The following is a 26,490-nucleotide window of genomic DNA, read 5'->3' as shown; positions in this document are numbered from 1 at the left end:
GATCACTTTTTTACAGTTCTTTAAAATCTGCTATGTGAAAGGAACAAAAAGACCACAGTTTAGGATCATGTTGTTAAAAACTTTTTATATAAAATTCTCTTATGTAGGGTAAGTGTACATATGGGCTCCTTTCAGATGCCCATTCTTCTTATATTCTGAATTCAGTTCTTTATTCTGAGCACATCAGATAATATGTCTGTCTGAACACCATAAATCTATCTTTTTTTATTTTTATTTTTTTTTAGAACTGGTGAAAGCCAAACCCATCTAATGCTTTAGAACCAAGGAATTAGCTAAGATGACAATGGATGCACACACAATACTTTCCAGTTTGTACATCTGCTCTGTGGCAGGTGGAGCTATTCATTCATTCTGAATATTTTTTGTTTTCGTTTTTATCCACGTCGCAGGGACAAAATCCATCACACATCAAGCCAACATCACCTGCATTTTCTTTGTTGGGAATATTACAGCCATTAATGATGAATACAGCAAGACATTTTATCTCAAGTAGGGTACAAGCAAATGTTCTTTGAATTGCTTGTTTAGATAACCAATTTAGAGTTAATTTAGAGAACTTTTATCTTGCCAAGTTAATTTTTTTTTCCAAAATGACAATGCACTGAATAACATGAAGACACATTTTAAATACTTTCAAAAGCATTGCTATGTGAAATTCAAACCTTTTTTTTTTTTTTTTTTTGAGATGGAGTTTCGCTTCACTGCACAGGCTAGAGTGCAGTGATGTGATCTCAGCTCACTGCAACCTCCGCCTGCTGGGTTCATGCAATTCTCATGCCTCAGCCTCCAGAGTAGCTGGGAATACAACTGTCTACCATGCCTGGCTAATTTTTTGGTATTTTTAGTAGAGATGGGGTTTCATCATGTTGGCCAGGCTGGTCTCAAACACTTGACCTCAAGTGATCTGCCCACCTCGACCTCCCAAAGTGCTGGGATTACAGGTGTGAGCCACTCTGTGCTTGATGTATATAAATAACATTTTTTCAATTATAATAAATTATTTTAGAATATTTTATTCACATTTCTTTTGAATATGTTTATAATTTAAAAGCTATGATAAACCAAATTGAATGATGTTTTCAAGTTCTAGAAACTATCTAAATTAGAATACACTGCATTTCCAGAGATCTATATCGAATTTTTCAAATTAATAAAGGAAAGCATAAGAAATTAAGAAAGAATAGCTATAGAGTAGGGTGGAATTCACACATATTGTAGTCAAACGGTAGTAATTGAAAATTTCAAGTCTAAACAAGGAGCTATCTGAACTAAGATAAGTTATTTAATTCTTCATGCCCTAGTATTTTCATCTTTAAAATGAGTATCACAAGACTATAAAAAAGTCTAGTGAGAATTCTTAAGACAATGTCTCACACTAAAGAGCTTGATAAATGCTATTAATTATTACTATCCTTTATATTTGTTTTTAAATAAAGTAGGCTGATCATTCTCCAAGCAAGTATATGTACACACATTCTCCTCACCATGCCTCATTTGTTTCTTGGTCATCCTTAGTATGTGAAGAATAAAGGTAAGGAGAAAATATTTTTGCATCTTCGCCGGATTTGGTGCTAGATTTGTAAGCATCAGTAATGAACCAATAGCTCAGATATGGTGAAGACACATTCACTGAATTAACAGGGCTGTGCAGAGCAAATCAGTTTGTTTTTCTTTATAAATTGGTATTGTAAAGTAGTTTAATGGAGGCATTTGGGTTTTCTAAATGCCAACAAATGCACGCAAAGTTAGGACATGATGTTTGACAGCACCCACATTAGCCTGAAGACCACAGCTCTCTTAATGGTAACCCAAGGATGAAGGCCATTGAAAAACTGCAGAGTTGAAGAAAAAAAAAAAAAAAAAGAAAGAAAGAAAAAACTCAGCAGCTACAGATCATGCAATCATCAGTTCAGACCAGGAATTAGTTTTCAGGTGTCTTCTGGTTCAGAATTCTAATTTATTTTCAAGTGTGAAAAGATCACTGGAAATGAAAACACTAAAAAGTTAAATGAAACATTTCCTTGTTGGGAACGTTCTAGTATAAAAGCAATCATTTTATTCATAAACATTAATTTAATTACTGTGTATTGAATTATACTAGAGGGTATGAAAATACTAAAGAAATAGCAAGTAGGCAGGCTGCAGGACTGGAAAATCAGCAAAGCACACAAAACAAACACACAAAGGAAATTAGAAAAGAAGACAATTAAGCATAAATGGGGATAATAAGTAACCACAGGTACAACCCAATTCAGAGGCCCCTTCCATTGCACAACTCCTGGGGAAAGAGAGTTTAAAAACATATTAATTATACATTACATACAATATAATTCTGGGGCCAATATTAAAGATATATAGTGTCCTTAAATCAGAGAACATTTCTGAGGATTAAATCAGAAGTAGAAATCTACAGATAAAACTATAGGCTTTAAGATCCCACTCCTGCTGGCCAAGGCTGAAGCACTGGGACTACTTCTTCCTCACTGTGCTAACTCTTTGGCATGTCAGCGGTTTCACCTAAGCCATTCAACCGGGGGTCTGAGGACTGCCCCACCACTTCCATCAGGGCTGGCAAATGCCCCTGCCACTAGTGGGCCTGAATACAGGCTTGCACTATCTAGCTCCACCTACCTTCTTCCCCTGCTCCAGGACACAGCACAGGATCCACACCCCTGGGGTTCCATGGCCCAATCCACCATGTGAGACATCCGAGCACTTCTCCCAGGAAAGAGAGGTTGGGCATAAATCCTACCACTATCACTGCAGCTGGCTCTAACCTGCAAAAGCCACCTACTGGTCTGGAGGCCAGCCCACACAGCCCTTTACAACAATTCCTAACACAAAAATCACAGTGATAAGGAAGAAGAAAAGCTTCTCATGACCACTGCCATCCCTCATTGCGTATGCCACCCCAGCTGCCCAAGAGGTCATCAGCCTGCTCATCCACCCAGTGTACCACTACTACAACTGCATTCAAGGAAGCTACCACACTAAAGCTATTTATAGCCAGGGAAATCATAGAGTCTTTGCCACTACATGTACCCAGAAGCAAAGCCAAATGACCCTACCCAACCATCATAGCCATATCTTCAGGAAAAAGTGCTCCTCCCAATAAAAGTAAATTCACAAATAAGAAGCTACTGTTGCTCTAGATGCGCAGAAATCAATGCAAACACACAAAAATCATGGAAAGAAAAAAAAAACAAGGTATTACAACACCCTCAAAGAAACATAGTAATCCTCCACCAGCAATAGATGCTAGCTAAAAAGAAATTCTCAAAATGCCAGATAATCAAAAGTACATGTTTTAGAGAAGCCCAATGCAAGAGATGCAAAAGAAATCAGAAAAGCAATTTAGGATATGAATGACAAAAACTAAGACAAAAAAATTAGAAAATCAATTTAGGATATGAATGAAAAAATTACCAAGGTGATAAGATATATTTATTTAAAAAAACAGAAATAATAGATCTGAAAAGTTCACTGAAGAAATTTCAAAATACATTAAAAATGTTAATAGTAGATTAGACCCAGTAAAAGATCTCAGGACCTGAACACACATCATTTGAAATAATCTAGTCAGACAAAAATAAAGAGAAAAGAATATAAATAATGAACAAAGCATTTAAGATGTTTGGAACTATGTAAACTGAATGAACTTAAGAATTATCAGTATTTCTGAGGGAGAAGAAAAATAAAGAAGTTTAGAAACCTTATTTAAGGAAATAACTGATGAAAACATCCTTATTCTAGATAGTGATTTAGATATCCAGATACAGAAGGCCCAGCAATCCTCAAATACACTGCAAAAAAAGAAAAAAATCACCCTGATAATATCATCATCAGACTGTCTAAAGTCAAAAAGAAGAAAAGAATTTTTAAAGCAGCAAGATAAAAGTACCTAGTCATCTTTAAAGGAAACTCCATCAGACTAACAGCAGATTTCTCAGCAGAATACTCACAGGCCAGAAGAGAATGGGAAGGTGTTTAAAAACTGCTGAAAGAGGCTGAGTGTTATGCCTCATGCCTGTAATCCCAGCACTTTCGGAGGCCAAGGCTGGGAGATCATTCAAGGTCAGGAGTTCGAGACCAGCTTGGCCAACATGGTGAAACCCCATCTCTACTAAAAATAAAAAAATTAGCCAGGCGTGGCTGCGCATACCTGTAATCCCAGCTATTCAAGGGGCTGAGGGAGGAAAATCGCTTGAATCCAGGAGGTGGATGCTGCAGTGAGCCAAGGTCACACCACTGCACTACAACCTGGGAAACAGAGCAAGACTTGTGTTTAAAAAAAAAAAAAAAGGGGTGGGGAGGAGCCAAGATGGCCGAATAGGAACAGCTCCAGTCTACAGCTCCCAGCGAGAGTGACGCAGAAGACAGGTGATTTCTGCATTTCCATCTGAGGTACCGGGTTCATCTCACTAGGGAGTGCCAGACAGTGGGCGCAGGTCAGTGGGTGCGCGCACCGTGCGCGAGCCGAAGCAGGGCGAGGCATTGCCTCACTTGGGAAGCACAAGGGGTCAGGGAGTTCCCTTTCCGAGTCAAAGAAAGGGGTAACGGACAGCACCTGGAAAATCGGGTCACTCCCACCCGAATATTGCGCTTTTCTGACAGGCTTAAAAAACGGTGCACCAAGAGATTATATCCCGCACCTGGCTTGGAGGGTCCTACGCCCACGGAATCTCGCTGATTGCTAGCACAGCAGTCTGAGATCAAACTGCAAGGCAGCAGCGAGGCTGGGGGAGGGGCGCCCACCATTGCCCAGGCTTGATTAGGTAAACAAAGCAGCCCTGAAGCTCAAACTGGGTGGAGCCCACCACAGCTCAAGGAGGCCTGCCTGCCTCTGTAGGCTCCACCTCTGGGGGCAGGGCACAGACAAACAAAAAGACAGCAGTAACCTCTGCAGACTTAAATGTCCCTGTCTGACAGCTTTGAAGAGAGCAGTGGTTCTCCCAGCACGCAGCTGGAGATCTGAGAACGGGTAGACTGCCTCCTCAAGTGGGTCCCTGACCCCTGACCCTCGAGCAGCCTAACTGGGAGGCACCCCCCAGCAGGGGCACACTGACACCTCACACAGCAGGGTATTCCAACAGACCTGCAGCTGAGGGTCCTGTCTGTTAGAAGGAAAACTAACAAACAGAAAGGACATCCACACCAAAAACCCATCTGTACATCACCATCATCAAAGACCAAAAGTAGATAAAACCACAAAGATGGGGAAAAAACAGAACAGAAAAACTGGAAACTCTAAAACGCAGAGCACCTCTCCTCCTCCAAAGGAACGCAGTTCCTCACCAGCAACGGAACAAAGCTGGATGGAGAATGACTTTGACGAGCTGAGAGAAGGCTTCAGACGATCAAATTACTCTGAGCTACGGGAGGACATTCAAACCAAAGGCAAAGAAGTTGAAAACTTTGAAAAAAATTTAGAAGAATGTATAACTAGAATAACCAATACAGAGAAGTGCTTAAAGGAGCTGATGGAGCTGAAAACCAAGGCTCGAGAACTACGTGAAGAATGCAGAAGCCTCAGGAGCCGATGCGATCAACTGGAAGAAAGGGTATCAGCAACGGAAGATGAAATGAATGAAATGAAGCGAGAAGGGAAGTTTAGAGAAAAAAGAATAAAAAGAAATGAGCAAAGCCTCCAAGAAATATGGGACTATGTGAAAAGACCAAATCTACGTCTGATTGGTGTACCTGAAAGTGATGGGGAGAATGGAACCAAGTTGGAAAACACTCTGCAGGATATTATCCAGGAGATAATATCCCCAATCTAGCAAGGCAGGCCAACGTTCAGATTCAGGAAATACAGAGAACGCCACAAAGATACTCCTCGAGAAGAGCAACTCCAAGACACATAATTGTCAGATTCACCAAAGTTGAAATGAAGGAAAAAATGTTAAGAGCAGCCAGAGAGAAAGGTCGGGTTACCCTCAAAGGGAAGCCCATCAGACTAACAGCGGATCTCTTGGCAGAAACCCTACAAGCCAGAAGAGAGTGGGGGCCAATATTCAACATTCTTAAAGAAAAGAATTTTCAACCCAGAATTTCATATCCAGCCAAACTAAGCTTCCTAAGTGAAGGAGAAATAAAATCCTTTACAGACAAGCAAATGCTGAGAGATTTTGTCACCACCAGGCCTGCCCTAAAAGAGCTCCTGAAGGAAGCGCTAAACATGGAAAGGAACAACCGGTACCAGCCGCTGCAAAATCATGCCCAAATGTAAAGAACATCGAGACTAGGAAGAAACTGCATCAACTAACAAGCAAAATCACCAGCTAACATCATAATGACAGGATCAAATTCACACATAACAATATTAACTTTAAATGTAAATGGACTAAATGCTCCAATTAAAAGATACAGACTGGCAAACTGGATAAAGAGTCAAGACCCATCAGTGTGCTCTATTCAGGAAACCCATCTCACGTGCAGAGACACACATAGGCTCAAAATAAAAGGATGGAGGAAGAACTACCAAGAAAATGGAAAACAAAAAAAGGCAGGGGTTGCAATCCTCGTCTCTGATAAAACAGACTTAAAACCAACAAAGATCAAAAGAGACAAAGAAGGCCATTACATAATGGTAAAGGGATCAATTCAACAAGAAGAGCTAACTATCCTAAATATATATGCATCCAATACAGGAGCACCCAGATTCATAAAGCAAGTCCTAACTGACCTACAAAGAGACTTAGACTCCCACACATTAATAATGGGAGACTTTAACACCCCACTGTCAACATTAGACAGATCAACGAGACAGAAAGTCAACAAGGATACCCAGGAATTGAACTCAGCTCTGCACCAAGCGGACCTAATAGACATCTACAGAACTCTCCACCACAAATCAACAGAATATACATTTTTTTCAGCACCACACCACACCTATTCCAAAATTGACCACATACTTGGAAGTAAAGCTCTCCTCAGCAAATGTAAAAGAACAGAGATTATAACAAACTATCTCTCAGACCACAGTGCAATCAAACTAGAACTCAGGATTAAGAATCTCACTCAAAACCGCTCAACTACATGGAAACTGAACAACCTGTTCCTGAATGACTACTGGATACATAACGAAATGAAGGCAGAAATAAAGATGTTCTTTGAAACCAATGAGAACAAAGACACAACATACCAGAATCTCTGGGACACATTCAAAGCAGTGTGTAGAGGGAAATTTGTAGCACTAAATGCCCACAAGAGAAAGCAGGAAAGATCCAAAACTGACACCCTAACATCACAATTAAAAGAACTAGAAAAGCAAGAGCAAACACATTCAAAAGCTAGCAGAAGGCAAGAAATAACTAAAATCAGAGCAGAACTGAAGGAAATAGAGACACAAAAAACCCTTCAAAAAATTAATGAATCCAGGAGCTGGTTTTTTGAAAGGATCAACAAAATTGATAGACCGCTAGCAAGACTAATAAAGAAAAAGAGAGAGAAGAATCAAATAGACACAATAAAAAATGATAAAGGGGCTATCACCACCGGTCCCACAGAAATACAAACTACCATCAGAGAACACTACAAACACCTCTATGCAAATAAACTAGAAAATCTAGAAGAAATGGATAAATTCTTCGACACATACACTCTCCCAAGACTAAAAAAGGAAGAAGTTGAATCTCTGAATAGACCAATAACAGGAGCTGAAATTGTGGCAATAATCAATAGTTTACCAACCAAAAAGAGTCCAGGACCAGATGGATTCACAGCTGAATTCTATCAGAGGTACAAGGAGGAACTGGTACCATTCCTTCTGAAACTATTCCAATCAATAGAAAAAGAGGGAATCCTCCCTAACTCATTGTATGAGGCCAGCATCATTCTGATACCAAAGCTGGACAGAGACACAACAAAAAAAGAGAATTTTAGACCAATATCCTTGAAGAACATTGATGCAAAAATCCTCAATAAAATACTGGCAAAACAAATCCAGCAGCACATCAAAAAGCTTATCCACCATGATCAAGTGGGCTTCATCCCTGGGATGCAAGGCTGGTTCAATATATGCAAATCAATAAATGTAATCCAGCATATAAACAGAGCCAAAGACAAAAACCACATGATTATCTCAATAGATGCAGAAAAAGCCTTTGACAAAATTCAACAACCCTTCATGCTAAAAACTCTCAATAAATTAGGTAATGATGGGACATATTTCAAAATAATAAGAGCTATCTATGACAAACCCACAGCCAATATCATACTGAATGGGCAAAAACTGGAAGCATTCCCTTTGAAAACTGGCAAAAGACAGGGATGCCCTCTCTCACCACTCCTATTCAACATAGTGTTGGAAGTTCTAGCCAGGGCAATTAGGCAGGAGAAGGAAATAAAGGGTATTCAATTAGGAGAAGAGGAAATCAAATTGTCCCTGTTTGCAGATGACATGATTTTATATCTAGAAAACCCCATTGTCTCAGCCCAAAATCTCCTTAAGCTGATAAGCAACTTCAGCAAAGTCTCAGGATACAAAATCAATGTACAAAAATCACAAGCATTCTTATACACCAATAACAGACAAACAGAGAGCCAAATCATGAGTGAACTGCCATTCACAATTGCTTCAAAGAGAATAAAATACCTAGGAATCCAACTTACAAGGGATGTGAAGGACCTCTTCAAGGAGAACTACAAACCACTGCTCAACGAAATAAAAGAGGATACAAACAAATGGAAGAACATTCCATGCTCATGGGTAGGAAGAATCAATATCGTGAAAATGGCCATACTGCCCAAGGTAATTTACAGATTCAATGCCATCCCCATCAAGCTACCAATGACTTTCTTCACAGAATTGGAAAAAACTATTTTAAAGTTCATATGGAACCAAAAAAGAGCCCGCATCGCCAAGGCAATCCTAAGCCAAAAGAACAAAGCTGGAGGCATCACACTACCTGACTTCAAACTATACTACAAGGCTACAGTAACCAAAACAGCATGGTACTGGTACCAAAACAGAGATATAGATCAATGGAACAGAACACAGCCCTCAGAAATAACGCCGCATATCTACAACTATCAGATCTTTGACAAACCTGAGAAAAACAAGCAATGGGGAAAGGATTCCCTATTTAATAAACAGTGCTGGGATAACTGGCTAGCCATATGTAGAAAGATGAAACTGGATCCCTTCCTTACACCTTATACAAAAATCAATTCAAGATGGATTAAAGCCTTAAACCTTAGACCTAAAACCATAAAAACCCTAGAAGAAAACCTAGGCAATACCATTCAGGACATAGGCATGGGCACGGACTTCATGACCAAAACACCAAAAGCAATGGCAACAAAAGCCAAAATTGACAAATGGGATCTAATTAAACTAAAGAGCTTCTGCACAGCAAAAGAAACTACCATCAGAGTGAACAGGCAACCTACAAAATGGGAGAAAATTTTCACAACCTACTCATCTGACAAAGGGCTAATATCCAGAATCTACAATGAACTCAAACAAATTTACAAGAAAAAAACAAACAACCCCATCAAAAAGTGGGTGAAGGACATGAACAGACACTTCTCAAAAGAAGACATTTATGCAGCCAAAAAACATATGAAAAAATGCTCATCATCACTGGCCATCAGAGAAATGCAAATCAAAACCACAATGAGATACCATCTCACACCAGTTAGAATGGCAAACATTAAAAAGTCAGGAAACAACAGGTGCTGGAGAGGATGTGGAGAAATGGGAACACTTTTACACTGTTGGTGGTACTGTAAACTAGTTCAACCATTGTGGACGTCAGTGTGGTGATTCCTCAGGGATCTAGAGCTAGAAATACCATTTGACCCAGCCATCCCATTACTGGGTATATACCCAAAGGAGTATAAATCATGCTGCTATAAAGACACATGCACACATATGTTTATTGAGGCATTATTCACAATAGCAAAGACTTGGAACCAACCCAAATGTCCAACAATGATAGACTGGATTAAGAAAATGTGGCACATATACACCATGGAATACTATGCAGCCATAAAAAATGATGAGTTCATGTGCTTTGTAGGGACATGGATGAAATTGGAAATCATCATTCTCAGTAAACTATCGTAAGAACAAAAAACCAAACACCGCACATTCTCACTCATAGGTGGGAATTGAACAATGAGATCACATGGACATAGGAAGGGGAATATCACACTATGGGGGCTGTGGTGGGGTGGTGGGAAGGGGGAGGGATAGCATTGGGAGATATACCTAATGCTAGATGACGAGTTAGTGGGTGCAGTGCACCAGCATGGCACATGTATACATATGTAACTAACCTGCACAATGTGCACATGTACCCTAAAACTTAAAGTATAATAAAAAAAAAAAATTAAAAAAAAAAAAGCTGGAAGAAAAAACCTGCAGCCAAGAATTTTTACCTAGTAAGATCAAGCTTCATAAATAGAGAAAAATAAAGTCTTTCCCAAATAAGCAAATATTGAGGAAACTCGTTACTGTCAGACCGGTTCTACAAAAAATCTTTAGGATTTTTAGGAATCTTTAGGATTCCTAAACATGGAAATGAAAGGTTGATATTTACCACCGTAAAAACATAAAAAGTATAAAACTCAGAGGTCTTATAAAATAATCACACAAAGAAGGAAGAGAAAGGAATCTAATGGCAACACAACAGAATTTCACCTAAAGACAATTTCACCTAAAGACAAATATGACAGGAGCAAAACCTCACATGTAAGTATTAACTTGAATGTAAATAGATTAAATTTACATTCCTTTTAAAAGACATAGATGGATTAAATTTATGCTCCTCCTAAAATATATAGATAAGCAGAATGAGAAAAAGAAAAGATGATCCAACCATATATTGCTTATAAAAAACTAACTTTCTCTCTAAAGACACATATGGACAGAAAGAAAAGAGATGGAAAAAGATATTCCATGCAAACAGAAACCAGAAGGGAGCAGAGTAGCTATATCAGATAAAATAGACTTTAAATAAAAAACAGTTTATGAAAAGACAAAAATGATCACTATACAATGATAAAAGGATCAGTTCAGTAAGAGGATATAACCATTCTAGATATATATGTACCCAACACCGGAACACCCAGATTCATAAAATAAATATTACTAGAACTCCAGAAAGAAAGAGACAGCAATACAATAATAGTAGGGGATTTAAACATCCTACTCACAGCATTAGACAGATCATTAAGACAGAAAAGCAACAAAAAACAATGGATGTGAATTGGACTTTAGACTAAATGAACCTAACAGATATTTACAGAACATTCTACCTAAATGCACCAAATGCAGAATATGCATTCTTACCAGCACATGGAACATTCTCTAGGACAGACCACATTGTAGGCTGAAAACAAGCCTCAACAAATTTTTAGAAATCGAAATCATATCAAGTATCTTCTCAAGCCATAGCAGAATAAAACTAGAAAGGGGTGGTAACAAGAGGAACTTTGGAAACTATACAAATACATGGCAATTAAACAACATATTTCTAAACGATCCTGAGTCAAGGAAGAAATTAAGATAGAAACTTAAACCATTTTTGAAACAAATAAAAATGGAAGCACAACATACCAAAACTTGTTGGGTACAGCAAAAGTAGTGCTAAGAAAGAAGTCTGTAGCATTAAATGCCCACATCAAGAAAGTATAAAGATCACAAATTTTAAAGCTAATATTCCATCTCAAGGAACTAGAAAAGCAAGAATAAACCAAACCTAATGTTAACAGAAGAAAAGAAATAAAAAGATCAGATCAGAACTAAATAAAAGTAGCATGCAAAAGAGTAACAAAAAAAGAAGTTGGTTTTTTTTTTTTTTTGAGACCGAATGTCACTCTGTTGTCCAGTCTGGAGTACAGTGGCATGATCTCAACTCACCACAACCTCCGCCTCCTGGGTTCAAGTGGTTCTCCTGCCTCAGCCTCCCAATAGATGGGAATACAGGCACATGCTACCATGCCCGGCTAATTTTTGTATTTCTAGTAGAGAGAGGGCTTCACTATGTTGGCCAGGCTGGTCTCGAATCCCTGATCCTTGTGATCTGCCCGCCTTGGCCTCCCAAAATGCTGGGATTACAGGCATGAGCCACTGCACCTGGCCTGTTCTTTAAAAAGATTTTAAAAAAAATTGATAAACCACTAGCTGAACAAACCAAGAAGAAAGAAGATCCAAATAAACATAATCAGAAATGAAAAAAGGGACATAACAACTGATACCACAGAAATACAAAAGATCAACAGAGACTATTAAGAAAAAACTATATGCTCACAAATGAGAAAACTGAGAGAAAATGGATTAATTCCTGAAACATACAACCTCCCAAAATGAAACCAAGAACAAACAGAAATCCTGAACCGACCAATAAGAAATAGTGAGTTTGAAGCAGTAATATAAAGTCTCTCAACAACAACAAAAAGCTGAGGATCAGATGGATTCACAGATGAGTTTCACCAAACATATGAAGAACTGATATTAATCCTCCTGAATACAACAACAACAACACACACACACACACACCCCATACCACACTACAAATATCCCTGGTGAACATAGATGCAAAAATCCTCATCAAAATGCAAGCAAATGAAATCCAACATCACATCAAAAAATACACCATGATCAAGTGGGTTTCTTGCTAGGGATGCAAAAATGGTTCAACATATGCAAATCAACAAATGTAATACAGCACGTAAAGAGAATTTAAGACAACAGCTACTTGATCATCTCAATAGACAGAAATAACATTTGATAAATCCAGCATCCCTTCATAATAAAAACTCTCAACACATTAGGCACAGATGGAACATACCTCAAAATAATAAAGACCATGTATGACAAACTGAGAGCTAACATCATACTAAATGGAGAAAAGTTAAAAACATTTCCTCTAAGAACTAGAACAAGACAAGGATATCCACTTTTACTACTTTTATTCGATGTAGTACTGGAATTCCTAGCCAGAGAAATCAGGCAGGAGAAAAAAATGAAAGGCATCCAAATTGAAAAAGATGTCAAATTGTTTCTCTTTGCAGATGACATGATTTTATATTTCAAAAAACATAAAGATTCCATTTAAAAAACTTAGATCTGATATATAAATCTAATGAGTTGTAGAATATAAAATCCATATACAGAAATCAGTAGCATTTCTATATACCAATAATGAACTAGCTGAAACATAATCAAGAAGGCAATCCTATTTATAATTCCTACAAAAAAAATCTAAAAATAAATTTAACCAAGGAGGTGAACTAACTCTATAAGAAAAACTATAAAACAATGATGAAAGAAACTGAAGAGAACACAAATGGAAGGACATCCCACGCTCATGACCAAAAGAATTAATATTGTAAGAACGACCACACTACCCAAAGCAATCTGCTGATTCAGTGCAATCCCTATCAAAATACCAATGTCGTTTTTTTCACAGAAATAGAAAGGGTAATCCTAAAATTTGTGTGGAGCTCAAAAGAGCCAGTTTAGCTGAACCAATCCTGAGCAAAAAGAACAAAGCTGGAGGCATCGCACTACCTGACTTCAAAACCCCAAACATCATCTCATTGGTATAAAAACAGAAACACACACTAATGAAACAGAATAGAGAATCTAGAAATAAGTTCATGTACTTACAGCCAATAGATTTTTTACAAAGGTACTAATAACATACATTGCTGAAAAGAAACCCTTTTTAATAAATTGTGCTGGACAACTGAATATCCACATACAGATGAATAAAAATAGACATTGTGTTTCTCACCACGTACAAAAAGCAACTCAAAATTGTTTAAAACCTAAGCATAAGATGCAAAAGTATAAAAATACTAGATGAAAACCTAGGGAAAACTTTTCTGGACATTGGTCTAGGCAAAGATTTTATAGGTAAGACCTCAAAAACATGAACAAGAAAAATGAAAATAAACAAATGGGACTATAGTAAAATAAAAAGTTTCTGCACAGCAAAGAAAACAATCAAGAGTGAAGAGACAGCCTGTTAAATGGAAGCAAATATTTGCAAACTATCCATCTGACAAGAGACTAATATCCAGAATATAGAAGGAACTCAAACAACTGCACAGCAAAAAAAAAAAAAAAAAAAAAAAAAAATCACATTAAGAAGTGGTCAAACTATCTGAATGGACACTTCTCAAATAAAGACAAACAATTAGCCAAGAGGTATATTGAAAAATAGTTAATATCACTTATCATTAGGGAAACTCAAAACCACAATGAGATATCATCTTATGCTAGTTAGAAAAAAAACTCTCTCTATATATATATATTATTTTGTCATATATATATATATATATATATATGACAGATATATGGTGAGACTGGTGATGGTGCAGAGAAGAGGGAGCTCTTATACACTGTTAGTGGTAATGTAAATTAATACAGCCAGTAAGGAAAACAGTATGGAGATTTCTCAAAAAGCTAAAAATAGAATTACTATATGACCCAGAAATTCCATTATTGGGTATTTATCCAAAGGATAGAAAATCAGTATATCACCTCCATGTTTACTGCAGCCCCCATGTTTATTGCAGCAATATTCATAATTGCAACGATATGGAATCAACATAAGTACATCAATGAATAATGGATAAAGAAAATGTGGTATATATACACAATAGAATACTGATCACTCATAAAAATATAATTAAATCTTCTCATTTGCAGCAACATGGTTGGAACTGAAGGTCATTATGTTAAGTGAAACAAGCCAGGTGCAGAAAGACAAATAATGCATTTTCTTACTCATGTAGGTGCTAAATAAGCTGATCTTATGGAGGTATGCAGTAGAATGAGAGTTACCAGAGGATGAGAAGGATATGTGTGGGGGTGAGGAGGATGAAGAGAGGTTGGTTAATGGGTACAAACATATAATTAGGTAGGAGGGAGTTCTAATGTTTGATAAGAGACTAGGGCAACTATACGTAATGACAATGTTTTCTATATTGCAAAATAGCTGGAAGACATGACTTGAAATGTTTCTGACACATAGAAATGATAAATACTTGAAGTGATATATACCCTGACTCAATCATTACACATTCTCTCTGTATAAAACAAAGTATCATAGGTACCCCACAAAAAATGTACAGAAATTATATATCAATAAAAAAACTCAAAAAGAATTAAGGGTCACTCTCCTTTTTTTTTTTACTGTTACTTTTGTTAAGTTATATAAATTAAGACTCAATGAACTCATCTATGAAATGGGAGTAATAATACCTACCTTGCAGGATAAACTGATACAGATAAATTGCTTTGCACAAAACTAAGCACTTAGTACATGAGCCCTGGGAAGTATGTACTATTATGAAAAAGCCTATTGAAAATGAAATGTAAGAAATGGTAGGAAAAAAGCATCTACTATCATCTGTCTTAGTTCTTGCCTTGGGAAGAATTTCCAAATTCCACCAAAGCCTCTTGAGCCCTAAAAGTATTACTAGAGTCTCTCTTACATGATAATGTTGAGGTTAGCAGTCTGCTGTGAACAATTACAAATGTATTGTGTGTGTGTGCGTATATACACACATATACATATCAGTAATCTGGCTTCTGGGAGGCCACAGTGGTGTCGGTGACAGGCAGGTAGAGAGATAACAGTAGCACAATATTATAGTTTTCATAATGGTGATAACCAATGGGAAACCTGGCATAGAAGGGAAGAGTAGACACTTCCATCTTGAATGAAAGGGACGTGTAATGGTTAGGTAGAATAAAATATGGTATTACAGAAAATTTATCTGTCAGACATCTGCTATTTAGTTGAACTCTTAAATCCTGGGTCCTTCAGATCATAACAAATCACTCTCAGGACACAATCTTAGAAAAAATATTTCTTTTTTGGTTCTTTCTGTTATTCTAAGTACTATACTATACTATTGGGAAAGGTCTTTCCATTAGGATGGGGAAGACATTTATATACTTCTGACCCTTCTTGTTGTATATTTTTACCTGTAATGAATTGTTTAAGGGGAGGGACAATTTAATGCTTAATTATATTTCATTTATTTAACTTGGAATATTGTTGTCTTTACTAGAGGAAAATTGTACTCCTAGGTAAAATTATTCCAAATAGCTCTATAAGGATCTCATTATTGGGTATTGTTTGAAATTTAGCTATCTTAAGCTCTGGGCAGAAAGCCCTCTGAGAAACTGCCTGGGACAGCTGAGTATCCTTGTTAGGGAATGACGGAGAAACAGGTGTTTGAGGTAAGCCACTCAGACAAGAGCACTCAAATAAGAGCAGTCACCTGGCAAGTGGGTGTGTCAGGGTGACCTGGAACCCTCCAAAAATCTCCTTGATGACTGAGGCCACATGTTCCTATGCAAAGTATCTAACAAGCTACATAACACAGAGAACTGAGTTCAGCTACTTCATCTTTTTCTTAATTGCTACACAGGGTGAGCCTTGGGAGAAACGCACCCAAAATGGGAGGTCAGAGTGGAGATAATAGTCATTGATTGCTTCCCCCTGTTATCTGATTCTTTTCAATTCTAGCAGCATGAAAAAGAATGCCCTGGCACAAATGTAAAATTATCTAAAAACTTAGCAAAGAAACAAAGCGAGGATCTGTATGAATTCTCAGTGTGTCTCATAGTTAATTTTTTAAAAAGAATTGCTGTTAACGGTAGGATAGTCAGGCAGCCCTCTTAAGCTTAAATGATGTCTCAAATCAGCAGATTATTAACTATTACTAAATGGCTGGTCTTTTTGCCCTGTATCACCTCTAAACTTGGATAGTCAGACATGCAGTGATAAGTTTTGCTTCTTTTCAATTATGAGATGAAGAGGGCAGGGGTTACTGGCCTTATGAAAAGAAATGATAATGTTCTCCCTGGAAAAACTATAAAAGGCTGGAGCTTGCTACTTCAGATCATCACCTTCACCAAGGACACTGAAATTACTTTCCTGAAGTTGATTCCGACCAGAGTTCAACTCTAATAGTTAAAGAAAAAGGATAGAATTTATTTCGAGAGGTCATAATTTTCAGGAAATGGGGGTGACTTTCTTGAAAAATTGAGGGCCTCTACCTATAAAGCTTCCTGTCCTGTAATAGCAGGGGACCTCAGTTCAGCTGCACAGCTCAATTTACATGCATATCAAGTTGCTGAGAGAGTGGGAAGCAATTGCTCAGCTCAACCAATGTTCCTACAATGTGTTCTGTATGTCAGGCCCAGCACTAGTGGCCTAAGATACACAGATGAAAGAAACAGAAATAAAATTTCACTACACTCAGGGGGCTGCAAGAGCACAGCACTGGGACCCCGAGCATCAGCCAGTCAGTGGAGCCTTTCTGGAAGGAATGATGCACAAATGCTGAGTAGGACATGTCCCTTGAAAACAGCATGAGTTTGGCCAGGTGGTTGTAACACCATGAAAGGTGTGCAGAGAAACAAGCAATGTGACAGACTTGTTTCCTGCTCATGCTACTCACTTCAGTAGGAACTTCTAAATTCCCCTTTGATAAGACTTCTCATATGTATAATTACACGTTCAGTGTCTAATTTAATGACACTACATCAGGCTGCCCACATCTGTGGAAATCATGGTTAAAATATAAGTGGAATTAAGAACCACAAGTCCAAAGAGTTAAAGGTTATAATTGAAATTTTAAAAGGTGTAATAAATTAGTTCTATTTCTGCACCTTCACAAATACACCTTCATAATGACTTTGAAACCAAGATTTCATTAAAGAATTCTGGGATGACTTGGAGTTTCAGGATGGAATATGGTGGCAGAAGGTCTCTGGCCTTACTCCTTCTCTTCTCACTCCCAGCTTGATTCTGTTCCAGAAGAGACTTTTTTGCACGTGTGTGTGGACACTGAAGTCAATCCTCCAATGCTCAAGTCACAAATTGGCCACCTTTTGTCCACTCCATGGCCTAAGATATACACATAGACGGTGCAAGCTTTCCTTAGAGGTTAAGACTCAGAGTAGAGGCCCCTGCAAACCCTGGAAGCTGGCTCAAGACCACTGGGCAGAAGTTCCAAGGTGCCAAGTACTGTGGAAAGAGTTTAGACAGGGGACTGAGTGGGGGAGCATGGGCTCTGGTGAGGCTATCATCTGCCTTGTGATTCCTTGCCCAAAAATGAAGCATAGCAAGAAGGCCAGAGCAGGGGCATGGAGGCCAGGGCAGGTGCCCTCTTGCTGAATCTAAGGGCAGAACTACACTCCACTGCAATTATTTCATCATGGGTTGATACAATCTTCCTTAAGAGCTCCCTACTAGGTAATCATGAAAGGTAAAAATGCCAATTAACACTAGCTCAGTTCTGGCCATTTTAATTAGTTTCTTTCTTGTTTAAAATATTCCTTTTCAGGTAAAGGTGCGGTCTCTTTTAGTGACTTCCCCTTCTTCTCCCAAGATGGCACCTGGGTGTCTGTGGCAGCCAGCAGGGGCCTTGGCTCTGCAGGAAAATTCTTTGAAGCTCCCTGGGTCTTTGCTATCCTCTGAAATGAGTGGCTGGAGTCCACCTGGTGACTGCTTGCCCTGGTGATATCCACTGCTGAAGTCTCAGGCTGAAGAACTCCAGATCCATTTCTCTCAGCCTGGTCAGGTGCCTCATCCCACCCCATCTCGGCACCTGTTGGGGTGAACCAGTTTGTAGGGGCCATGTGATGAGTGGCCCAGGAGTTCCAGGGTAGAATCTTCTGCTAAGCCTGCCAGCCAGCACCATCAGCTACCACACCCTCCTAGAGCAGTTTCCCCATGGGGAAACTTCTGGAGACTTTCTCTCCAGAGGGAGAACTCAGGGAGCACCTGAAAAGGCATTAAGTCCCTCCTTCTGCCAAGTCACTCTAGGCCACGACTGTAAGATGACAGGGCCCATGCCATGTTTGGAGTGGGGCCCCTGTAGAGCATCTCTTCTCAAGATTCTAAACAGGAGATTGAACAGACCCTGCCTCCACCTCTAGAACACAAGTCCTGAGTCAGGGGAAGTCATGGTTCATGTTCCTTCTGTGCTACTTCCTTTCCCTACCCCAGTCTCTTTCCTATTCCCTTCCTTCACCCATGCTGGCAGAAAGAGGAGAATTTTAATCCCTTCTGTCTAACAGAGACTTCCCTAGAATTACATCTCTCTCCCTCCTGAAGTGGCATTTATCTTGTCTCTTTCCCTGAAGTTATAATGGCAGACAGGTTGCAGAGAAAGAAATCTGATTGAATTAAGAATATCAATTAAGAAGCATTTTAAAAAATATGAAGCCTGCAATCCATATGCTTTACCATGAGCTGAGTCCCAGGACAGATAAGCCTGTGACTGGCTTGTGTCCAGAGGTATCTCCTAATAAGCTCCTGAGACACATTAGGATTCTGCTAAATAGAGTAGTTGGAGTCTTTGAAGCCCACCTTGGAGCAGGAGGCAGAGGATGTTTGTTCACCACATGCCTGGAGAGCAAAGCTAGGTATCAGGTGCCAAAGGACTTGGATGCTCTGCTGGAAATCTCAACACCCTTGGTCCTTTAGTATAAAGAAGGTCCCATGAGATTTTTTTAAAAAAATGCTTAATTGTTTCAAGGGTATATTAGTTTCCTGTTGCTGCTGTAACAATCCGCAAATTGAGTGGTTTAAAAGAACATAAATGTATTTGTTTATGATTCTGGGGGCCAGAAATTCAAAATCAGTTTTAGCAGGTGTCAGGTTCTAACTGAGGTCTGAGGGGTGTTGGTGGGCAAGTGGCAGGGAGCTGGAAAAACACTCAAGAAGTCGTAGACAGTTTTGACATGGTTTTACTCTCTCTCTGGGCACAAGCAAGCTTGGGCATGTGCTTGGGTATGACCCATGGACGCAAGCCATATGTACAGTGTTAGCAGGGTAATTATACATTTTACAGGCAATAGTGGCTCTGAGCCAAGCACAAGCTCATGTGGGTGGTCACCTAATGCACCTCAAATGGCGTGGTTACATAATGTGTGGAGTTACGTGCCTGCGCTCCAAACTCGCTGAGTCACACTGGACCAGATGTCTGCCTCGGCCTATTCTTGACTGCAGCACATCCATTTTCCTTACATTCCATCCCCAAGGCCAAGGGAGACACAGGTCTTGGACACACAGGTCTGATGCATAGGCCTTATATTCCACCCCCTAGGCTGAGGGTTTTTCTAGTGGGGAGATGCACCCACAGGGTGGAACCCTGGACTCAGAGGCCACAGCAGTAATACAGGGAGCAAATAACTCCAGGTTATGGCGTGCAACCACCCCATGGTGATGTTACCCCAATGTTGCTTTATACATTAAGCCAAGTTTTTATTTCCCTACCTTTAGGGGCACTGGGGCAGGCAACAACAGGTTACCATTTGTCCCATGCTTGGTTGGAGGAGGTCATCCTTCCACCTACAGGTCTTGTCACATGGCTTGGCCCCACATGGGTTGGTGGCCAACTAGCCACTTCTGTATTTTCCAGGTGGTTAACCACAAGGTCAAGCCTCATTAGAACATCCAGCTATTGGTACAGATTACCATAGGTGTCGCTTCCTTGGTGATCACCATCTATGCTGCTCTAAACTCAGCCCATTGGCTACTATATCCACACCTGCTATCAAACCATATGGTGTCAGTACTAGGCTGGACTTCAACAGAAGTCCAGGCAGCAGCAGCATCCTGGCTAGACCCATCCATATACCATGTCCCATTGGGAATGGGGGACACCCTTCCTTAAACAGTGAAGGCTCAGGGTCTAGGGGTGCCTCAGACCCCATGGCCTTATTGTGCATTAGGACTACAGATCCCAAGACCTCTTGCAACTTTGCTCCTAAGGGGCTTGTACTCAGTGTACTCTGCTGTTCTAAGTAGGTGCCCCACTTTGCTAAAGTGGATGTCTGCACCATCCCAGTCCAGGGGATTGTTATGCATGAATGCACCCATCCCACTATCGGGTAAGTCATCTGCATGATGACTGCAGCCCATCCTGCCATACTCTCACAAGCCTGAAGGGTGGCATATATAGCTGCTAGCTGTTTCTCTATCAAGGAATACTGGTGCTCAGCTCCCTTCCATCATTGGGACCAAAAACCTACTGGCGTTCTCAAGTGCTCCATGTGCTGCCACAGGCCCCAACCAAAACCATCTGTTGTCACATGCACATCCTGCTCAAATGGGCACTCCTGGTCAACTACCCATAGGGCTTCTGCCTACTGAATAGCCCCCTTGGCTGCCAGGAAGGCAGTCTCAGCTGCATCATCCCAATCTCAGGCAAGAGGAGTGTTGCCACTTCTAAATCTGCAAGAGAATCAGAGGTTAACATAACATTATCAACAAGACCATGACATACAGTGGGGCTAGGCATATAGCACTGAGGCAACCCTGTGAAAGTTCATTGTTGCCCTCCCATGAAGACAAACTGTTTCTGGCTCTCTAGAAAAAAAAAATGCATTAGCCAAGTCCACCACGTAGTGGTACTGTCCCAATTCAATCGTCAAGTGGTCCATCAAGTTCATGACAGACAGCACAGCTGCCAAGCTGTGTAAAACATCCACCCCCAGAATATATCTGCATTGATGTCTACCAGCGCCAGCACTTGCCGTACGTTGGTGGGGGACCAGTGGATCGCTCATTTCACATGTGGCCTCCAGTCGTCCAGTGGCCAAGCACCTTGGCCAGTTCCCTCATCAAACAGAAAAGGCTTTACACCCCAGCCTGGCTGCAGCACGTAGTCTTTGAGCTGAAGTCCCTGGGTGGGACTGGGTCACACAGCAATGTCCTTCCCCTACTTGGGCATTTTCTGGAATTGGTGTTCCAAAGACAACTGTCTCCACAAAGTTAAGAGTACTTCATTGGGCTGCTTATCGATTTTCTCTCAGTCAGCCCAAGCTAAAATCAAATCTATCTGCATCTGTGAGTGTGTCACTCATTGAGGCCCCATTTTCTCTCACTGGGGAGGCCCCCGCAGGTGGGGCATCTTTGCCTTCTTTACAGCATGGACCCCTTGGTACTGCTGATGACCTCCAGGCCTGCATTCACAGCAGCCTCTAATTCTTTTTCCAAGCTCTGAAGCCGGGCCTCTAGGCACCCCACCTGCACCTGGAGGTCCCCATTCACAGAAGCTTCTAACTCTTTTTCTGAAATATGTAGCCAGGCATCCAGGTGACCTGCCTGCGTCTGGAGGGTCCTCACCTCTGCAGCATCCCTCAGGGACTGGGTGTGTACTTCTCATAGCGTGGTCAAAAATGCCCATCCAACTCTGCTGGCAAAGGTTCATTCTTTCTTGGTGCTCTCTGCTTCTAGCTGCTTCAGTGCCTTTCCCTGCTTGCAGGGGACTCATCTACTGCCACCCAGGTTTCTACCAGAGCCCATCTGAGCAATACGGCTGCCACCGGGTACCACAATCCATGTTGCAGCCACATGGCTGACCCAGAATCGGTGGGGACTGAAGGCTCACTCACTCTGAAATCCTGTTTGTGACACCAATTGTCAGGTTCTAACTGAGTTCTGAGGGGAGTCAAAGGGTGAGTGTCAGGTAGTTGGAAAAACACTCAAGGAATTGTAGACAGTTTTGACATGGTTTTACTCTCTCTCTGGGTGTGAGTGAGCCTGGGTACACACCGTGGCACAAGCCATGGGCACAAGCCATATGTACAGTGTTAGCAGGGTAATTATACCTTTTACAGACAATAGTGGCTCTAAGCCAAGCACGAGCTCATGTGGGTGATCACCTAATGCACCTCATGTGGTGTGGTTACATAATGTGTGGAGTTGTATGCCTGCGTTCCAAATTCACTGAGTCATGCTGGACTGGATGTCTGCCTTGGCTTATTCTTGACCACAGCACATGCACTTTCCTTACACCAGGCTAATGCCAAGGTGGCAGTGGGTCGGGTTCCTTCTTGAGGCTCTAGGAAAGAATCTGTTATCTCACCCTTTTCAGCTTCCAGAGGCTGCCTATACCCCTCACACATAACCCCTTCCTCCCTCTTCAAAGCCAGCAGGGGAGTGTCTTCACATCCCTTTCCATCTGTCCCTCTGCTTCTATAAAGTCACTTCCATTCATCCAACTATTGCAGTTCAATTGTTAGCTTATGAATAAATGAAGATAAAAACATTTTCAGAGGAATACTAGTATTGAGAAGGGAGTGGGAACAGCTAGAAGGAAGAGAGAGTCCTATGTCCTGGAAAAGAAGACTAACTCTATGCTGTCTTTTAAACAAATGCATTCTTGACCTCCCAGGCTCAAGCAATTCTCCCAATGAGTAGCTGGAACTAGATTTGTGTACCACCATGCGTGGCTATTTTTTTTTTTTTCTATTTTTTGTAGAGATGAGTTATCGCTTTTTTGCCCAGGCTGGTCTCAAACTTCTGGTCTCAAGTGATCCTCTCACCTTGGCCTCCAAAAGTGTTAGCTTTACAGGTGTGAGCCACTGTGCCTGGCCCAAATGTGTTTTGTTGACTCTACAATGGACACACGTGCTCTAAACTGTCTACCAGAAGCAATGGCAGCCCTGGGTCACTCCCATATTCCACCTGAAGCTTAAGAGCAAAGAACTACCAGAGTTAGGACATGCATTGGTATTGTCAATGGGAAGTTGTTTGCAACAGAGTCTTCCCAATTTACCTGTGCATCTATTATTTGGGCCGCAGGGAAGAGGATGAATTGCTTTCATCTTCTCACCAGGTAGAGAGCTGGTGTGGAGCAGGGCAAGAGCCCTAGTAGCACAGGAGGAACAGGGAAGGTGGACAGCTAGCATTAGCATTTTCCAGGCATAGAGACAGGTCACCCTGGCCAAATTCCTCATTAGAGGATCAAACTCCAGCTCTTCCCCCTGACTTTAATACTAGAGCTTCACAAACCAACCACTCTACATATTCATATCCTCCCAGAGGATGTTCTAGCAATCTCATTACTGTGACATCTGTAAGTAGAAGAGATCTTTTACTTGCTATTATACAAAGAAATCTATCTGGAAGTTAAAGCTAGTTCTTGCCATATCCCAATTGCTTTCCTTCTCCCCTTGCATTTGATTTCTCCCTGTGCTGCACTCAGTTTGTGGGAGCACAATATCTGGAGGCCCCATTCTTCAAAACCAATGTTTGAGGAAAGTGTGTACTTATGATTACATGCTGACATATATGCAACTTTTGAGTGGGAACAGCATGAGTTGTGGAAATTGAATTAAACAATAAAACCATAATTGCTTGTTAGGGTGCTTTAATTGACTCGTAAGTACCATATGCAAAGCTGCGTGGCTGCAGGAGCCCAATTATAAACTTGCTTACGGAAAGATACAACTTATTTTGCATGTTGGAAACATATTCTCCAATTATTGTTGCCTCAAAAAAAGTGAATTTTTAAATAAATAAATGCTTAGTAAGCTAGTGATATATACTTAGTCCCTAGGTAACCTGGAAACACTTTATTTAGGTTCTAATACAAGACCAGAAAATGCAGAGTTGAAAAATACCCCTTCACTTTATTCCAAGGCGTTTGTTGAGCCCTGTAGCCCTCTGCGTTCCCAGCTAAACCAAGAAGTTACACAGATAGGGCTCTTGGCTTCAACATATCACTTATAAAGACTGACAAGAATAAGCATTTCAGAAAAAAATGGATAAAATAAAATCACAAACAATTCATAAATTAGATATAAAGAATAGCTAATACACATGTGGGTCACAGAGGAGGGAGGAGAAACATCTTAAACTCTGGCTGATGATCTGCTGTGGCTAAGTCCAGGAGGGAATGCTAGGAGTTGTGGTCAAGTTACTCAGCCATGATTGGAAGCAAAATAATTAGGACCAGCTCTGGCTTAGGGAGTGGTTGGGGGAGGTGGGAATCACAGGTGCTCCAAATTAACTTCCTAGCCAAGTCAGGAAATCAGGCTCTTCCAGACAAGTAGAGTGAAGACTTTCAAGAATGAGCGGTGAAAGAATAACTGTTAGGAATCCTAAGTCCAAGGAAGAAAGAAAAGTGTTAAATAAGACAAAATGTAGCCCATGGATGATGTTTACATGACAACAAGTGGTCTTGAACCCCAATAATCTCCATCAGCCATGATGAAACCACCCAAAATAAATATATAAGTACAAAAAGTAGCTTGCTTGTTAAGGAGGCTGCAAGACAAATCTCTTAATCCTCAACTACTCCCTCCTGTAAACTGGACCAAATAAATATACACTCTGAGTAGAAATAGTGGACACGCTGTGCAAAGTCAGCTGCAAAAGAAGTTCTTTAGCCACTCCTTCCTTTTAGATTGCCTCTTTAAGTCTTTCCTTCTACAAAGAAATATTAAAACCTATATTGAAGAAAACCATCATAAATGCATATAAATCATATTCTTTAAGACATTGTCAGCAATCATTCTAACGTAAGACCTGACAGTGAATATGAAGGAGCTTTCATCGCAACCAGGCTTTTTTTTGTTGTTTTTAATAGATCAGTGATCCTCTCCCAGGTTTTACAACACCTTGGAGTAGCTCCATTTATTTCAGTTGACTTTCTTCCATTAAAAATAATTCAATGGGGAATGACTGCTAAGGTGTTTCTCTTGGAAGTGATGAAAATGTGAAATTAATGTGATGGTCGTACAACTCTGTGGATACACTAAAAGTCATCAAATAGTACACTTTAAAGGGTGAATTTTGTCCAGGCGCGGTAGCTTATGCCTGTAATTTCAGCACTTCGGGAGGCTGAGGCGGGTGGATCACGAGGTCAGGAGTTTGAGACCAGCCTGGCCAACATGGTGAAACCCTGTCTCTACTAAAGACACAAAAATTAGCCAGGCATGGTGGTTCATGCCTGTAATCGCAGCTACTCAGGAGGCTGAGATAGGAGAATTGCTTGAACCTGGGAGGCAGAGGTTGCCGTGAATCAGGATCGCACCACTATACTCCAGCCTGGGTAACAGAAGGAGGCTCCAGCTCAAAAAAAAAAAAGTGAATTTTATCTCAACAAAGCTGCTGCAAAAAAAATTCATAATTTAAATATTCTGAATCTTAAATGATGTAATTTTTTTAAACTGAGCTCAGACATCACGTCACAAAACAATGTCAATTAGATGCAGCTTTCCAGAAATCTTAGGAATCATAAGCATTTACTAGTCAGAAAAAAAATGATTTTCCCAAAAGTTATGCTCTAAACCATTTATATTAACTTTTTTAAATAAAAGTATACCCACAAATAAGGAATTAATATTTTGTCATTAATGCAGTTCTTTTCACATGCTTATGACCTTCAAAATTTTGTTTTTAAATTTTATCCTCCATTAAGGACAAAATAGACATTCACCTAGACTTTCTGCAATGTCATATTTACCAAATTAGAATTCTGCAGAACACTATCTGGAGGATACAGTCAGTTGATGAAACATAACAGTAATATAAACAGAATTTTTTCCCTAAGAGGGCTCATAATCTACACAGAATACCCAATTTCCACCACATACGGAAAAAATGCACTAAATATATAAATATCTATGAATCAATTGCATTTTAGTGTATACAGAATATGTAAGCATTGAATGGTGATTAAAGTTAATTT

At 40.1% G+C, this 26,490-nt stretch overlaps 1 protein-coding gene across 2 annotated transcripts in view, besides 1 other annotated feature; it reads right to left on the bottom strand.

Annotated features, from left to right (window-relative positions):
- THSD7B (thrombospondin type 1 domain containing 7B) overlaps positions 1-26,490 on the bottom strand; it is a 912,174-nt gene that overhangs the window by 274,200 nt on the left and 611,484 nt on the right. The window lies entirely within an intron of this gene.
- Positions 4,615-5,146: an enhancer, noted in NCBI's record as "NANOG-H3K27ac-H3K4me1 hESC enhancer chr2:138155943-138156474 (GRCh37/hg19 assembly coordinates)". NCBI's record gives its function as "activates a minimal SCP1, AML or CMV promoter by ChIP-STARR-seq in naive and primed H9 embryonic stem cells {active_cell/tissue: H9 hESC(naive and primed)}" and the evidence as "EXISTENCE:reporter gene assay evidence [ECO:0000049][PMID:30033119]".

Source organism: Homo sapiens, chromosome 2 (genome assembly GCF_000001405.40).
Source record: "Homo sapiens chromosome 2, GRCh38.p14 Primary Assembly".
Lineage (NCBI taxonomy): Eukaryota > Metazoa > Chordata > Mammalia > Primates > Hominidae > Homo > Homo sapiens.
This window is presented reverse-complemented; position numbering and strand designations above follow the sequence as displayed.